The sequence below is a fragment of the Homo sapiens genome, chromosome 8 (genome assembly GCF_000001405.40).
Source record: "Homo sapiens chromosome 8, GRCh38.p14 Primary Assembly".
NCBI lineage: Eukaryota > Metazoa > Chordata > Mammalia > Primates > Hominidae > Homo > Homo sapiens.
Genome location: NC_000008.11, coordinates 122,337,496 through 122,355,258, shown reverse-complemented (window position 1 = coordinate 122,355,258; position 17,763 = coordinate 122,337,496). Strand labels below are relative to the sequence as shown.

At 37.2% G+C, this 17,763-nt stretch overlaps 1 long non-coding RNA gene across 1 annotated transcript in view; it reads left to right on the top strand.

Moving 5' to 3' along the window:
* Positions 1 to 16,570, top strand: part of LOC105375733 (uncharacterized) — a 41,305-nt gene extending 24,735 nt beyond the window's left edge. The window contains exon 2 of the long non-coding RNA XR_928599.4: positions 16,063 to 16,570. This is a non-coding gene — a long non-coding RNA (uncharacterized LOC105375733). The remainder of the gene's footprint in view (positions 1 to 16,062) is intronic.
* Positions 16,571 to 17,763: the final 1,193 nt, after the last annotated feature.

Here is a 17,763-nt window from a genome sequence, read left to right as displayed (position 1 = left end):
GAGCAATTAAACATAGTTTAAAAAGCAATTGCTCTTAGTATGTTCTGTTATAGAAAGAAGCTTGGGAGTGGGTGTTCAGTGTGGCCCCTTCTCATAACAGATCTTTTCAAGCTGAGAAAGATATTACCTGTGTTGGGATTTGGTCAGCCATTATTCATTAATTTATCAATTTATCAATGAATTTACTCATTCCCTGCAAACAGACAGGGTAACATACCACTTCCTCTCCACTTATGATAAGTGCTCTTGATTCCTTGCTTATGATGGCCGTGGGCTTGAGACAAGGCAACCATTAGACTCAGCTCAGAGTTCAGACTCTATCTTCAGAAATACCTAGTTTTTAGATCCCAGCTTCATTGTGCAATAGCTATGAGACCAGTTTCTGCATCTATGAAATGGAAGGCATAATGGTATCTACTAATATGATGGCTGCAAGACTTAGGATATTGCATTAAAGATAATAATGCAGATGGCACACAGGGAAGCACTCAAGAATGTTAGCTATTATTTATAGTAATTATCACCATTATTATTATTTGTGAGTACTGTAGCTAAACATACCCTAAATAAATATACTTCTAATGATATTCTCATATAACTTTTGGAATTTAAACTTTCTGTTACATGAGAGAGAAGTGGGTAATAAAGAAGGTGTATGACAAAGAAAATGGGGAAAGGAAGAAAACAGGGGTGCTGTTTTAAATAATCTTATACCTTTAAGTTGGAAAGCAGAATTAATAAACTTCCCCCCAGGAAACACTGAAATCTTTGTGCATTGGAAATATTGTTTTAAGATTGTAGGTTTCGGATCATTACACTTTGTAAACTTCAATAGAGTTAGGCAGAAATGCCTAACCATTTTCTGATACTTCTGCGTAAAGAAGTGCTTTAAAATTGTATCTTGAGGTTATGATACTTCTTATCAGGATTTCTCATAATTTATTCAATGCTGATTTTCACAGGCTCATACATAGAATTATTAAATCTGGAAATGTACAACTACAAATGATCATTGTGCTATTAATGTAAATCTTATAATTTATAGATGAGAAGGAGGATAAAGGAGGTGAAATAACATGCTTTCCTTTATACAGTGAATTAGGGCAAAAATATAGGTGTATTAACTTCCTAGGCTAGCGTTTTCTTTTTTCTCCCCATTTACCTTCTATCTAAAATAAATAAATACATAAATAAATAAATTTTAAAAGCTGTGCACATTTAAGAATGAAAAGTTATGTATATGTTTGGCTTATTTTCTATTTTCCTAAATGTAAATGATTACTCTAGATCGGTAATTCTTTTTTCGTTTGGTTTTTTTTATTGTGAAAGGTATATAACAATGTTTATAATTTTAAACATTTGTAAGTTTGTAATTCAGTGGCATTAAATACATTCCCAATGCTATGTATTCATCACCATTATTATACCTCCCAATTTTTTTCATCCCAACCATAACACGTACCTACTAAATGATAATTCCCCCTCCTCTCTCCCTGAAGCCTCTATTGACCTCTATTCCACCTTCTGCCTCTATGAATTTGGCTATTCTAGATATTTCATATAGGTGAGATCACACAATATCATCCTTCTGGCTTATGTAACTAAACATAATGTTTTCAAGGTCCACCCATGTTATAGCATATATCAAAATTACATTTCTTTTTATGATTGAATTATATTCCATTGTATGTACATACCACATTTTGTTTATTCATTCTTCTGTTGATAGACAATTGGGTATTTCCACCCTTTTACTGTTGTGAATAAAGTTGCTTTGAACGTTGGTCTATAGATATTAGTTTGAGTCCCTTCTTTCAATTATTTTATATATAGGCCCATAAGTGGATTGCTGGGTCATATGGTAGTTCTATGTTTAACTTTTTGAGAAACTACCAGACTATTTTCCACAATGGCGGCACAATTTTGCATTTCCACCAGCAATGCATGAAGGTTCAAATCTCTCTACATCCTTGTTGACACTTGTTATTTTCCTTTTTTAAAAAAATGCTAGGCCAGGCGCGGTGGCTCACGCCTGTAATCCCAGCACTTTGGGAGGCCAAGACGTGCGATCACAAGGTCAGGAGATGGAGACCATCCTGGCTAACACGGTGAAACCCCATCTCTACTAAAAATACAAAAAATTAGCCAGGCGTGGTGGCTGGCGCCTGTGGTCCCAGCTACTCAGGAGGCTGAGGCAGGAGAATGGCGTGAACCTGGGAGGCGGAGCTTGCAGTGAGCTGAGATCATGCCACTGCACACCAGCCTGGGGGACAGAGCGAGACTCCGTCTCAAAAAAAAAAAAAAAAAAAAATGCTAGCATTCCTGGTAGGTGTGATGAGATCAATCGTTCTTAAACAGGAGAATGATTTTGTCCACCCAGAGGAAGTTTGACAATATCTGGAGACATTTCTGGTTACAATTTGGGGGGAGAAGGGATTTTGCTACTGGCCTCTGGTGGATAAACCCCAGAGATGCTGCTAATTATCCTACAACGCACAAGACACCCCATTCTCTGACTACAAAGAATTGTCTGGCCCACAGTACCAATAGTGCTGAGGTTGAGATACCTTTCTCTAGATACAAGTCCAGTAGTTGGAGCTAGGTTTCTGATACTCATTCTTTTTTAAATGTTTGCCATTGAAAGGGCATTATGATATGAAACAGATTCCTTAACACTAGATGGCACAGAGATGAGTTTTTGTGAAATGATGAAATGTAGGACACTGGGAGAGACAAGACTTTACTTTGAAATTTGTACAGAGCAATTAGCAGGCTTATCTGATGAACTCTGTATTAGTCTGTTTTCATGCTGCTGATAAAGACATACCCGAGACTGGGCAATTTACAAAAGAAAGAGTTTTAACTGGACTCACAGTTCCACATGGCTGGGGAAGCCTCACAATCATGGCATAAGGCAAGGAGGAGCAAGTCACATTTTACATAGATGGCAGCAGGCAAAGAGAGAATGAGGAAGAGGCAAAAGAGGAAACCCCTGATAAAACCATCAGCTCTCATGAGACTTATTCACTACCATGAGAAAAGTATGGGGGAAACTGCCCCCATTATTCAATTATCCTCCACTGGATCCCTCTCACAATATGTGAGAATTATGGGAGTACAATTCAAGATGAGATTTGGGTGGGGCACACAGCCAAACCATATGTAACTTTATTTAGAAATCACCCAAATTGTAGTGATACCACTGCCACTTGTGATATTACCTCAAAGCATCTCTTTGTACTGAACTTATACCAAATCAGAAGTTCCCTGGGAATTACCACAATAGTCCCAAACCTTCTTGAAACATGAAACCTATATGAAAGAAAAATACACCTATATCAAAGAAGAATACAATCTGTCATTGAACCTTTTTGAAATTACTTATTATATGTAGATTGAAGACCTTTGTTAACATAACTCTTTATGAGGGAAAATTCAATTAAATATTTATAAGGTGCCCAGACATCCTGTCTTCAGTACAAGGTATATTACTGAAGGCATCTACTACGTGCTCAGCACTGTTCTATCCTTAAGAAAAATATGACAATGCTTAAATAATGTCTCAGTTTTGTGGAGGATACATGCATGTTTCTCTTAAATCAAAAGTATGTACCTGACATAACTTATGATGTAGTACCATGTGACAATAAAGTCACATTTTGATGATTTAATGCAGGTGGAAATGTTTATTGTTTATTATTAGTTGAAACAAAAGTGTAAATAGTATAAATTGAATTCTACCTTAAGGACTGAATTTGTATATTTACTGTTTATTATTTCAATATATATTATGCATATGCATGAAGGAAAGACAAAGACAGTATAGCTAAACGGTAACTGCTTAGCTGGGAAGTTACAAGGTTTTTTTCCAAATACTTTCTCAATTTTTAAAGATTTTCCACATGCACTAGTTATAATTCAAAATATATGGTACGTATTAAGAACATAAGATTAACCTAACTTAGATGATTGTTGACTACCCCTGCACCCAAGGGGAACAGTGTTTACTCAAACCCTTCTCAATTTGGGGATAGGGAAAGAAGAACATGGAGGAAGATTCAGAAATCAATCTCGTGAGTCTATATTGTCTGGACAATTCATGGAAGTCTACTAGGAAAGAATGACGAACTGTGAGACTGAAGTAAGGGCTATGCTTCGCAAGTATGATGTGCATAGAAATCACCGGGACGTCCTATAAGAATGCGCATTCTTTAAACATTTGTCAATGTGTCAAAAATGCCACCATTTTCCTAAGGGTTATTTGCCCACATGTAAAATCTCAGTTGTGTGTGTGTGTGTGTGTGTGTGTGTGTGTGTTGGGGGGAATGTAGCTGGGATAGGGTAGGAAAGAGTCACCAGAGAACCAAGTTTGTGAATCTTTCTAGGGCTCACAGAGGGAAAGAGAGAGAGAAAGAGTGGTAGGGAAAATCTGCTTATTAATGAATGCACAACACTTCTCAATGGGAAGCATTTTTATTTCCAGCATTATTCTATAGATTGGTCCTGAGGATTGATTTATTAATATCTGTAATTCTATGCATTTGACAGGCTAATAGTAATACTATTTTCTTAATGCCTGTGGCACTAAAGCTGCATTTTAAGGACTTTTCCAGGAAGCTCTATGGAGGAGAATAGCTGGAAGACCACTCAGAAATGGAATGAAGGCTCAAATTTCATTAATCCAGTTGGGAGTCACTTACAAATGCAAGGTCAGGGTTTCAAAACTTAACCACAGAGTTTCCCTTACTGCCTAAAACACCAGCTAAAATCAAGAGGATTGCAAATTTCAGATTAGCTTTGCGTACAATATTGTTTTCCCATTGTTACTATTTTGTCTGTGATTATCTTGTACTCATTAGGAAACAATGAAATCTAGGTCAGAGCAGAGATGGGGCTTTGTGCCCACTAGGCTAAAGGAATATATATATTAGTTATCTATTACTGCATAAAAATACTCCAAAATTAAGCAGCTTAAAACAATACACATTTATTATGTCATAGTTTTTGTGAGCCAGGGATCTGGACACAGTTTAACTGGGCCATCTGCTTTTCCCATAGGGTATAATCAAGGTGTTGTTAACTGTGGCTGCAATCATATAAAGATTTGATGGGGGAAAGATCCATTTCCAAACTCACTCACATCGTTGTTAGCAGGATTCAGTTCCTCAAGAGTTGTTAGATTTAAGGCTTCAGTACCACTGGCTGTTGGTTGGAGGTAGCTCTCCTTTCCCACATGAGATTCCCTATAGTGCAGTTTACAACATGGCAACTTTGTAAGAGCAAGCAGGCAAGAAGAACTGTGTGAGTGTGTGTGTGTGTGTGTGTGTGTGTGTGTGTGTGTGTGTGTGTGTAGGGAGGGGTGAAAGAGAGAGAGAGAGAGAAGGGTGGGGGGGCAGGCAATGTTAGCAAGATGGAAGTTAGCCATTTGTAAGCTAATCTCAGCAGTAACATCCTGTCACCTTGTAGCGTTCTATTCATTAGAAACGAATCACTGGATACAGCTCACACTCAATGGTAAGGGGATTACACAAAGGGCCATGAATACCAGAAGCAGGGGTCATTGGAAACCCTTTTAGAAACTGCCCACTCTAAGGCGTCTACAATCTTACAGCATTGCCTACATGGCATCAGATTTTAAGAAAAATCAGAGAATCTCACACTGAGATATCTACATTTTGAGGATGGCCCAAGGGACTTAGCCTTGAGTCCCTTTGGGCCTCAGGGACTTAATAGGGCCAGGGTATACTAGAGGCCAGAATGCAGTTGAGCAAATATTTATTGAGTGCCTACTAATTCTAGAGGCTTGTGCTAGCCATTGCGAAGATTACAGAAGGAAGCAAGAAAATGAACTTAGTATGTGCCTGGCCCCATGCTAGCTGCTTTCCTGTTCATCATTTAGTCTCGAAAGTGAGAAAGCTGAGACTCAGCAGCATTAAAATATTGCTTAGGACCGCAAAGTTATTTAGCAGTGGGGATGGTATTTAAATCCAGAAATGCCTCACTGTTAGACTCTTCTTTTCCCCATTAAATGCCATTATACAGTCTTTAAAAGAATTAGCCAAGTGTGACAAAATCTCAACACAAATGGAAGTATTGTTCCTATATCCACAGTTATCCCAGAATTGATTTTATTGAATTAATTTTAACATGATGTATCAGGCTACTCTGAAGAGTATAAGAAAGAATTTCCATCATGTGTCTCTTAAGGATGTAGATCATTATTTCTCACAGAGTCCTTTCTAGCAAGATTTTCATGGAAGTAAGAGCTGCTATTCTTCTAGTAAGTAATTGTTTAGTTGTCATTTTATAGACAGCTTTCCCATTTTGGAAAATGGTGAGCCATACATTTGGCTGTCAGAAAGCTCAGAGCCAAAAGCCTGAGGGCTCTGATGATATTAACTTTTAATCTCACTCCTGAATCTGATGTGTTCGTACTCTTGATTTAATTTCTACTCTCAGAACATTACTTTTAAGTTAACACTTTCATTTATTATATATGCCTTTTTAAGCAATCTTGAAATACTTATGAAACAAGATGGAATATAGTCAATGAATAAAAGTTAACTATACATCATCTACTTGAAACTAGAAAAAAAGGTTTTAAGTGCTACACGGTGCCATAGCTATAGCTGAAGTAGGACTTCAGATGAGAGAGAATGAAAACAATGTGGATTGTTGCAGTATTACAGTTGATCAAAGTATAAAATTAACCCTCCCACTTCAGGGAAAGGCTTGTCTGGGGGCCAATAGGGCCCAAAAAGTGTGTCAACTCAGAATGGTAAATAAGAGGAGAATGAATGGCCTCTAAATCCTAGTGAGTTCTCTTATTTGTCGTTGGTTCCACACTTGCCACTTCAGCTAATACTTTCTGAAGCCCTCTCTAGGAAGTATGGCTATACAGGTTGTGCTGCCAAGGCTCCCTGATGTTGTGGCTTGCCTGAGGTCACACACTTAGGAGTGAAATATAGGGATCCTAACACCCATTCAATTTACTTTATTGGATCATTTTTCTATCTCCTGCAAGAGATTCTATTAATGTTTAACGCAGAAACTTCTCCTATCAGTAGGTGGAGCTTTGTGACTTGCAGACAGCCACTTTCTTCTCTTTACTATTACTTCTGAATCTTCTCTTCATCCATTCTTTTTCAAACTCATCCTCTTCTTCCTCCTTTCTTCTTTCTCTTCTGTCCTTTCACCCTTCTTTCTTGATTCACATTGACTTTATTGCCATACTGCCTATATTCTACAACTGTAAACGTTTAGACATCAAAGTCCTGTCATCTGTCTATCGGATTGGCTGGCTCTTTAAGGCAAATGTCCTAAGACTCGCTTCTCCTAACTAGCACCTTCAGGGTGAAGAAGATACCCTTCTCCACTGCTTCCCTGTCTGGGCTTTTCACGCATGTGCGAGACTGGCCTTCCCATCATGAGAACCACAATTGCCTTGCTCACTTTGTTCCTTCTCTAAGACCCAGGCATCATTGCATGTATGCAATGATGTATCAAATACATTGCATGTATCAAATTTAGTAAATGTATCAAATTTAGTGACTGTTTAAACCTGCATCCCTGATCAACCTATCAACCTCTTGCCTTAGAGCACTTTTCACTACCTATTTATTATTTATTTATTTGTTGACTGTCTCTCACTGACGTTATGTAAGCTTAGTGAAAACACACACCTTGCCTTGAGTTTACCATTCTAGCACTAACCCAGAATAGAACTTGGCATAGAATGACAGAATTGATCTTAGAGCCTTGATACTCAAAGTCTGGCCTGAGCATCAGCAGCATTGCATCACCTGGGAGCTTGTTTATCTCAGGCACTACCCCAGACTAACTGAATCAGAATCTGATTTTAGTAAAATCCCCAGTGATTTGTGCATGCTGCATTAAAATATGAGAGCCACTGCTCTAGAGGAGCCCTTCTAAGGTGCAGCTAGAGCTATACCACCAACCTGTCACTACCAGAACCTGGAGAATGAACACTCAGAGATTCAATTTAGTAATAGACGGTCAGCACAAGTAGCCTCTACCATTGTCAATGCCTTTTTAAAAAAATGTAAAAAACACATACATAAAATTTACCATCATTTTAAAGTGTACAGTTGAGTACTGTTAACTATATGCATACTGCTATACATCAGATTTCTTTTTCACCTTGCAAAACTGAAACTTTATACCCACTGAACAACAACTCCCTCTTTCCTCTCCTCCCAGCCCCAGGCAAAAACCAACCTACTTTCTATTTCTAAGAGTTTGATTATTTAGATACCTCTTATAAGTGAAATAATGCAGTATTTGTCTTTTTGCAACTGGCTTATTTATTTCACTTAGAATGTCATCAAGATTTACCCATGTTGTAGCAGGTGAAAGGATTTTTCTTTTTTAAGGCAAAGTAATATTCTGTTGTATTATAAACCACATTTTATTTATCCATTGATCTGTGGATAGACATTTAGATTACTCCACCTCTTGGCTGTTATGAATAATGCTACCACGAACATGGTAGTACAGATATCTGTTTGAGACCTTGTATTCAATTCTTTTGGATCCATACCCTAAAGTGGGAATGCTGGATCACATGGTACTTCCATTTTCATTTTTGGATAAATCTCCATGCTGTTTTCCGTAGTGGCTGCAGCATTTTACATTCCCATCAACAGTGCACAAGGGTTCCAATTTCTCCACATCCTAACCAACACTTGTTATTTTTTTTTTATTTTTTGCTAGTGAACATGTTAATAGATGTGAGGTAACATCCCATTGTAGATTTGATTTGTGATGATTAGTGATGTTGAGCATCTTTCCACATGCTTGTTGCCCATTTGTGTATTTCTCTGTAGAAATGTCTATTCAAATCCTTTGCCCATTTTTAATTGAACTTTTTTGTTATTAGGTGGTAGGAGTTATTTAATATTCTGGATATTAATTCCCTATGAGATATATGGCTCACATATATTTTCTTCCATTTTGTAAGTTGCCTTTTATCTCTGTTGTTTCTTCTGCTGTGTAGAAGTTTTTAAGTTTGATGTAGTCCTATTTGTCTATTTTTGCTTTGTTGCCTGTGCTTTTGGTGTCATATTCAAGAAATCTTTACTAAATTCAACGCCACAGAACTTCCCCTCTATGTTTTCTTCTAGGAGTTTTGTAGTTTCAGGTCTTACGTTGAGGTCTTTAATCCATTTTGAGTTAATCTTCGCATACTGTGCAATGTAAGAGTTCAACTTCATCCTTTTGCATGTGGAGATCTAGTTTTTCCAGCACCATTTGTTGAAGAGACTATTCTTTCACCCTTGTGTAGTCTTGGTATGATTGATCATTTGACCACATATGTGACAATTGGTTTCTGGGATCTTCATTTTGTTTCATTGGTCTATATGTCTGTCTTTATGCCACTACCAGGCTGTTTGATTACTGTAGCTTTGTAATATGATTTGAAATCCGGAAATTTGATACCTCAGTTATGCTAGTTCTTTTAAAATTGTTTTGGCTATTTAGGGACCTTTAAAATTCCATATAAATTTTAGGATTTTTTTTTTTCTAGTCTGCAAAAACTGCTATTGGGATTGCATCAAATCTTCAGATTACTTTGGTTGATATGAACATTTTAACAATATTAAGTCTTCCAATCCACAAATATGGAATGATTTTTGACTTATTTGTGTCTTTAATTTCTTTTAAAAATATTTTATCATTATCAGTGTAAAAGTCTTTTGCCTCCTTGGTTAAGTTTATTCCTAAGTATTTTATTCTTTCTGGTGCTCTATCACTGCTTTTTGACCTGCACAATGCTGGGGAATGCACATCATAACACTACTCAGGAATACTCACATTTTTTATGACCTTGCTAGATGGCAACAATAGCCAAAATCTGCAGGAAGATTTCTCCACCTTGTTTCCCTTTCCACATCTCATAGAACCTATATCTGATACAGAAACTTAGCTGCAAGGAAATCAGCAAAATTAAGTTTTTGACTTTCCGCTTTCTCTAATAGAATGAGGGTAGAAGAGAGGCTGAGTGAGCTAATAGAATGAGAGTAGAAGAGAGGCTGAGTGAGCCACTCCAAAGTAGCTGTTCCAGAGCATGAGCAGTGCTGATGCTCTCTCTAGATCCTCTCTGATCCCTTATACTGGTTTTATGCACCCATCACCCTAATTCTGTGCTTTGCTGCTAAACTAGCTTCAGCTTTCATTAGAGGGTTACTCTTGAGCTATTGGAGCCACTCCCTCCCACCAGGAATTCCCCCGCAACCTCCATCTGGGAATTTACCTACTGACTGCCTGACTGCCCATCGGGCAGTGGCCTGTACCAATGATTGGCTGGTATAAGAGTAAAGTAGGCCAGGTGAGGCTGGAAGTCAGCCTGAAATCCTGTCTTTTCTTGGCTTTTCCCCTTTCCCTATTCTGCTTTCATTATTCCCATTACCAGCTCCCTGAGGAGCACGTCCTTAAATACTTGGCACAAATACTATTGCCTTAGGCTCTGCTTCCAAAAAACTAGACCTAAGACAGTATGGACATCATGTATGATGTAGCTAAGAAAGATTTATGCTCAGATTTGTAACTGTTTCCTCACATACTGCTTTATTAAAACTGTTAATATGCAATCCATATAACCTTTTCCTTCAGGCATAAAGTTAGTGTTTCAATTAAAAGAATGGACATTGTTTTCTCTAGTCAAACATATTTTGTGAATTAATGCTTGCTGATTATAAATTTATTATTCCCTGGATGCTTAAAGAAGAAAAATCCTTCAAATTTGTTCCATTACCTCAGAATTTTCTTCCTTTAAAAGAACTCTCACATAGTAGGCATAAGATAATCTGAAACAGTTTTAATTAATTGTGACAGAATTAGCATTTTTAATTGGTTTATTCACATGGTTATTTCAATCCCATAGCCAGCCACTCTGCTCCATTCAGAGTTATGTGATGTGGAAAATTCGAATAATTAGAAGGAATTATCTCTATCTTCAAGAAGAATAGTCTATTTGAAATCATGAATTATCAGAACAATCCAGAGGCTGTATCGATGTTTCAGTTTTTAACTTAATTGCACGACGTGTAAGAAAGTAGATTAATATATGGTAGTGGGTCAATTTCCATCAGTTCATTAATTTTTTTAAAAAATTCCTTTTAACTTAGCCTTCTTTCCCATCTGCAGACGTTCAACAAATAGTCAGTAATCACTACCTCCACTTCCTTCTCTCCTTCATTCTTTTTTCCATTGAATCTAGTTCCACCTCCGTAACTGTACTGAAAATGCTCTAGCTTAGATCACCATTTCAGTGGACATTTTCCCATCTTCATCTCTCTCTATTTTATGTAACTTTTGAAATACTCGCAAGTCTTCTCCCATAGTTTCTATGATAACACTAGGTTTCTACTTTTCAAATACTCTTCACTGTTCTCTCTCTACCCTTGAGGTAATCAAACTTTTTCTTAGTGTTTTTCTAGTCCTACATCCCAAGCTTTTCTTCTTGATCTTGTCCATTTCTATGTTTTACAATACATTAGAATACTAACATAAACCCATTCACAGTCTAGAAATGGAGAGGGCCGTGGCATTCAGAAAATCAAAAGTAATCTGAAAAATTCCAATGATCTGTCATCTGTGATTTACTTGCTGATGGCAAACATTGGTAGTGAATTTTCACAGCATAATTGGGAGAACTGCTGCTGTTTGGAAATAGTTACACATTAAAGGCTTAGTAGAAGATGAAATAAGTATGACCTGTGAACAAAAACAGATAACTAAGAAGTAGACACAAGTTGTTTTACTCATCTTGAATCAGAAATAGTAATATTTGTAAAATTTGATGGTAATAGATACAAATTCGCTTTGAGTTAGGATAATGGGTCATAAAATACCTAATCTGAGGAAAACAAAGCTAGCACTTAAAATACACATTGCTTCCATCTCCATTACTTGCTTCACTCTTAAGAGAGCTACCTAATAGTTAAGATCCTGTTATTAGCCTTTTTTGATTGCAAATGAAAGAAAAATCAACATGGACTAGCTCTCCAAATTAAGAAAATAAATTCACTCATGTAATGTAACAAAATCTGCGATAGTTCTGGGCATGGGCGGATCCAGATGCTTAAGCAATACAGTCAGCAAGGTTTCCCTCTTTTTTCCTTGTTTCTGTGTTTATTTCTGTTGGCATCATTCTCAGGTAGGTTCTTATTCACACAGTGGTAAATATGCCTGCAAATAGCTTCAGATCATCTACATTTTATTGATTCAGCAACCCCGGAAAAGCAGCACTTTGCTGACAGCTCCTAGATATGATTTTTCTAGCTTCAGCCTGTGTCTTGTGTCACTTTTGGAATCAGGGGATGGAATCAACCTTATCTGAACCTATTATGTTGGTGATGGAGAAGGAATGGACCCAAGATGCACACAGAAACACACACATATGTCTCTTTTCTTCTGTATATTACAGTCACGTTTATTATCCTATTGTATGAAAAAAGCACTCAGAGACATTAAGTTACCTGCCAAGGTCATATGGCTAGTAAGAGGACTTTATGAGAAACAGGAGTTACCCTAGTGTCAATGAATTATAGATATTTAGAATTGAAAGTAACTTACAACTATAATGTACAATCTTTTTCCATGGTTTTCAAAATCTTACTTGGGTTGGGCATGGTGGCTCATGCCTGTAATCCTAGCACTTTGGGAGGAGGGAGGATCACTTGAGGCCAGGAGTTCAAGACCAGTTTGAACAACATAGTGAGACCCAGTCTCTACAAAAAATTAGAACAAAACAAAAAAAAAATAGGTGGGCATGGTGGTGTGTGCCTGTAGTCCCAGCTCCTTGGGAGACTGAGGCGGGAGGATCACTTGGGCCCAGGAGGTTTGAGGCTGCAGTTAACTATGATTTTTCCACTGCACTCTAGCCTGGGAGACAGACTGAGACTCAGTCTCTTAAACAAACAAACACAAAAAATTACTTCTTGTGTCCTAAGTGCTGTGCACTTGTTCCAAAAGAATGTGAAATCCCTCCTCACTGCAGCAGCATTGAGTTTATCTGCTTTACATTTTAGATTATGTAAGATTCTGTAGGAGAAAAGATTTCATCTATGTTAGAAAAGTTTTCAAACAACCACCCAAAGTCACCCTCTTATTGTATGGAAGTTATTTGCTCTGTTATAATTAGGTCAAAAGGTGCTTCATAATCAGTTTAACTAACTTTGATCAGTGTAAACCAATAGTGCCAACTGAACTCTGTTCAATAATCCCTGAGGCGAATATCAAATATGTAATAGAACAGGCATTCACATTTTCCCATTTCTCAGTTGCTTTGAGTATCTAAAGATGTTCTCAGCTTCTTCACATAAACCCACAGGGTATGACCTACTTGCTTTAAGAGCAGTTGTTCTTTTTTTTTTTTTTTTTTTTTTTTTTTGAGACAGGATCTCGTTCTGTCTGTCACCCAGGCTGGAGGCACAATCATGGCTCACTGAAGCCTCGACCTCCTGGGCTCAGTTGATCCTCCCACCTCAGCCTCTGGAGTAGCTGGGACTACAGGTGCATGGCACCATGCCTGGCTCATTTTTATATTTTTTTGTAGAGACAGAGTTTTCGCTATGTTGTGCAGGTTGGTCTTGAACTCCCGGGTTCAAGTGATCGATCCTCCCTGCTTATCCTCCCAGAATGTTGGGATTACAGGGGTGAGCCACTGTGCCCAGCCTATGAAGCAGTTGTTCTTTATGGAAGTATTCTAACATAGAAGGGAGTTAATATGACAAGGGTAAAGATGGGAAGAAACTATTTTATGGTGTAAAATCTCAACTTAAAGTTTTAAGGATTTATCTTTTCTCCTCAAACAGAGTATAATTTAATGAAAAGTTGTCAACTTTTTGGCATCAGTGGGTTGAGATTTCAAGTTCTTTAGGGCCTGGCAGATAATGTACATTATTTTACTGGAGTATGCACAATCTGTCTACTGGGACCAGCCTCTATTCAGCGGCAGCTGACTGTCACTATACATAAATTATCATTGAGAAGTTGTTTTAAAAACTCCAAATTGCATTTTTACATGAATGTTTAAACATTAGAAAATCAGATATTTGAAAATAATATTGTTCCTGCTAAAATGTGTCTGTAGATTAAACAAGCCTGTAAGTTGAACATTTGTGGTCTCTGTTTTACATAATTAATGCATGGTGAATTGTTATACTATTATTGACTTTGTTGGGGAAGGTTTTTTTTCTTTTTCCTTTAATACTTGATCCATACTCAGAATATACAGGCACAATCAGATTCTATACAACAGATATTTCAAAGAAAAGATATTCAGAGTTTATACAAATTGAAGTAGGGAACCATATTTTTAAATTTATTTTTCACTGAAGCTCTATTGATTTCTTATTTGGCTGAACCTATATGATCTTTTGTGACTAGCTTACCTGTATTTGAGTATGTTCACCCTACACCATTAATCAAACCATCCTCTGTGGAAAAGTGAGCTTATTTCCTGAAAAATATTTAAGAAAAGAGGAGACATTTACTGTCTTTTACATACTCCACCCCCAACATAAAAAATTGTTCTTACATTCAAAATGTATTGTGTATTTGGCTAATTCACAGTTTGCATCTTCGATCCTAGGCTTGGCAGGTTCTTGTCTAAGTGCATAATAAATCACTGCTCATCCTCCTTATTCTCTGCCACCCAAAAGAAAGACTTAAAATCTAAAAACTCAGTGAAAGGCATTCTGTAAGGACAAGACAGGATTGAAAATTGGCAAATAGAATCCATGTATAGGTTAATACCAGGGTTGGAAAAAATAAAAGTGAAGGGAAGCATTCCTGAGACTTGTTTACCTGAAGCCCAGTCCAACTGCTTTTATTCTCCTGGATTTTGAATTTGTATATGCCTCTGAGAATCTCCCATTTTCCTCAGAAATGTTCTGAAGCAGAATGGAAGTGAAGGTACTTTGTGCAGTAGAGTGGGTATAAGTGATCATTCTCTTGTCAGCTTTCCAATGGGAAAAAATGGGAAGCTTGTGGATTAAGAGGCTGCATTGAGTAGTAGTTAGTGCTTAGAGTTATGAGTCAAACAGAAATGGGGTTTGGTCTTAGTTTGGTCCCTCCTGCATGACCTTGGCCAATTTACTTATCTTTTTAGTCTCAGTTGCCTGTCTGTAAAACAAGAATCATATTAGCACTTCTTTCATAGGGAAAATGAGCTACTGGCACAAAGGAAGTGTCCAATAGTTCCTGGAAATGTATAAGAATAAGAATTTCTATAAAATAAAGATCCATAAGAATATGGATACTACCCCTTCTGAATACTCAGCTTGGACGACAAAATCCCTTTTGTTGAAAAGTCACTTATTCACTGATTAAATTAAATCATTCATTTAGACATTTATTAGACACCTGCTGAATGCAAGAGAATGAGCTATGTGTACATTAGTAATAAAATGTATTATCCATTTTTATGTGTATACTAGCAAAATAGACATTCAACAAGTGTTTGTTGGATGAATGGCAAGAATATTTAAGGCCAATAATGGCCTGGTATCTCTTTCCAGAAGGAATAAAAAGTAGGTAGCCCCTGCTCCTGTCAACAGCTATTGAATAGAAACTTTAATTTGAGTCCAGGACTCTGATTTTAGAGGAAGAAGCAAATCTCAAGCTGTCCTTGGTGGTTGCTTTTATACAACAGGTAGAGATATAAATAGGAGTTGAGGATTTGTGCAATAATTATCTCCTAAAATACTTGCAATATAAGCAAACTGGTAAACCTAAAACTGAGTATTTTCCTGCTGTAAACCCCATAGGGCCAGAATAATTAGTCTCAAGTTTTGTTTGAATTAGAACTGAAAGAACTGAAAACCACTGAAGACCTCAGATCTGATATGTGCTCTTTCCTAATCCCTAAACCTTTTAAGAAAATGGTCTATCTCCTTTTAAATTCCCAGGAGCTCAAGACATGCCCATACTTGTCAAACTTTCATTTTTATGAACTTCATATTTTCTCCAGATATATTTATTTTTGAAAAGTGACTTGTCAATAATATTTATTCAGATATTTTGTTTTTTTTCCAGGAGAATTTGGGATTAAAGACTGAATTCACATTCTTTCTAACCAGTGGCCTTTTTTGGACTGTTAAATCCTTGATGCCAAAAGCTTCTGATTGTGAAGCTAATGAACCAATGCCTAGTGTGATTACCTCCAACTGCTAAATGTAATCCAAAGAACATGCCTGATTGCAAACAATCTTGCCAAGCATAGACAAAGGAAGACCATTCATTAAAACTACTTGTTTTCGAGCAGATTCCAGCCCAGATTTTATTCAGCTGCCTAATCAAGGAAGACTGCTTTCACTTTCTGCAAACTAGGCAGTAAAAGCCACAGAGGCCAATGGCCTCCTGTAGATTTTTCTAGGAGTTGGCAAACTATGGCCCATCAGCCACATCTGACCTGCTTTCCTGTTTTGTAAAGCCCATGAGCTAAGAATATTTTGTACATTTTTAGATGGTTGGGGAAAAATCAAAAGAAGATTACTATTTTGTTATGCCTGAGAATGAAATAAAATTCACATTTCAGTGTCCATAAGTAAAGTTTTATTGGAACACAGCCATGCTCATTCATTTATGGTATATATGACTGTTTACATGCAACAATGGCAGCACAGTTGTGACAGAGACCATATGGCATGCAAAGCATAAAACACTTACTCTCTGATCCTTACAGAGAATATTTGCCACTTCTGTACTGAAAAAATCTTAAGTATGAGTTTAGAAAAGCTTGGGTTGTCTACCATGCTACCACTCACTTGGAGGCAGGACTGCATTCAGTGAAATCAGCTCAAACAGACCTGCAAGTAGGGATAGAGTAAAGAGCAGAGAAACTGCCATCAGAGAGCCCTAAACTGGAGTCTTAGTTCCTTCATTGTATAGTAGTATGACTTTAGGCAAAATTCTAAATATCTCTGATTCTTAGTTTTCTCTAGTGTAAAATGGGATGGATAATTCTTCATTCTCAAATGATTGTAAATAAAATGGGATGGATAATTCTTCATTCTCAAATGATTGTTCAGAAATCATTGTGTCTTCTTCTCTAACTGTATATTTATCATCTATCTATCCATGCCCGCATCTTACATAGCAAACCTATATCTATACCCTTATCTTGTCTTGCCACATTATGAATAGGTGCTCAAGGAAAAGTAGTTCTCCTTTTTCTTCTCTTATTCCCCAAAGTCTTCAGAGAAAGAACCTTCATGACCTTTGTTGGTAACATTGCTTTCACTCACTTTTACATTGGAGAATCTATGCTTAGTGCCTTATGAAAATCCCTGCCATGTGCATTCTTAAATGAAACCCAAAACCTGTTTTATATCAACCACCAGTTTTCTATGGGGTGGATACTTTTTATTAAATATATCATATTCCATGATGAACCTTTTTCTTTTCCTAGGATAAGCAACAAACTTCTTTGATGTTTCTCATGGCAGTAATTTTTCCTAATTTTAATAATTTTAATTTTCTCTGGGCTTTATCCTAGTTTTCTGTTTCAACCTAGTTCACTGTCTCGAGTGATTACTAGCTCACTTGGACTCAGTCCAGTTACCAGATCCAAAATTAAATTCTGTACTCTAAGGTAGGAACCCCTGCCACACCCCCCATCTTCCCCCACCACCCACCGCCAGCCATGATCAAAGGAGAACCAAGTTTTATTTGCTCCAGATCTGAAGATCTCTAAGAAAGAGAGGACAGGCACTGGGTGTGCATTTTTTCACTGGA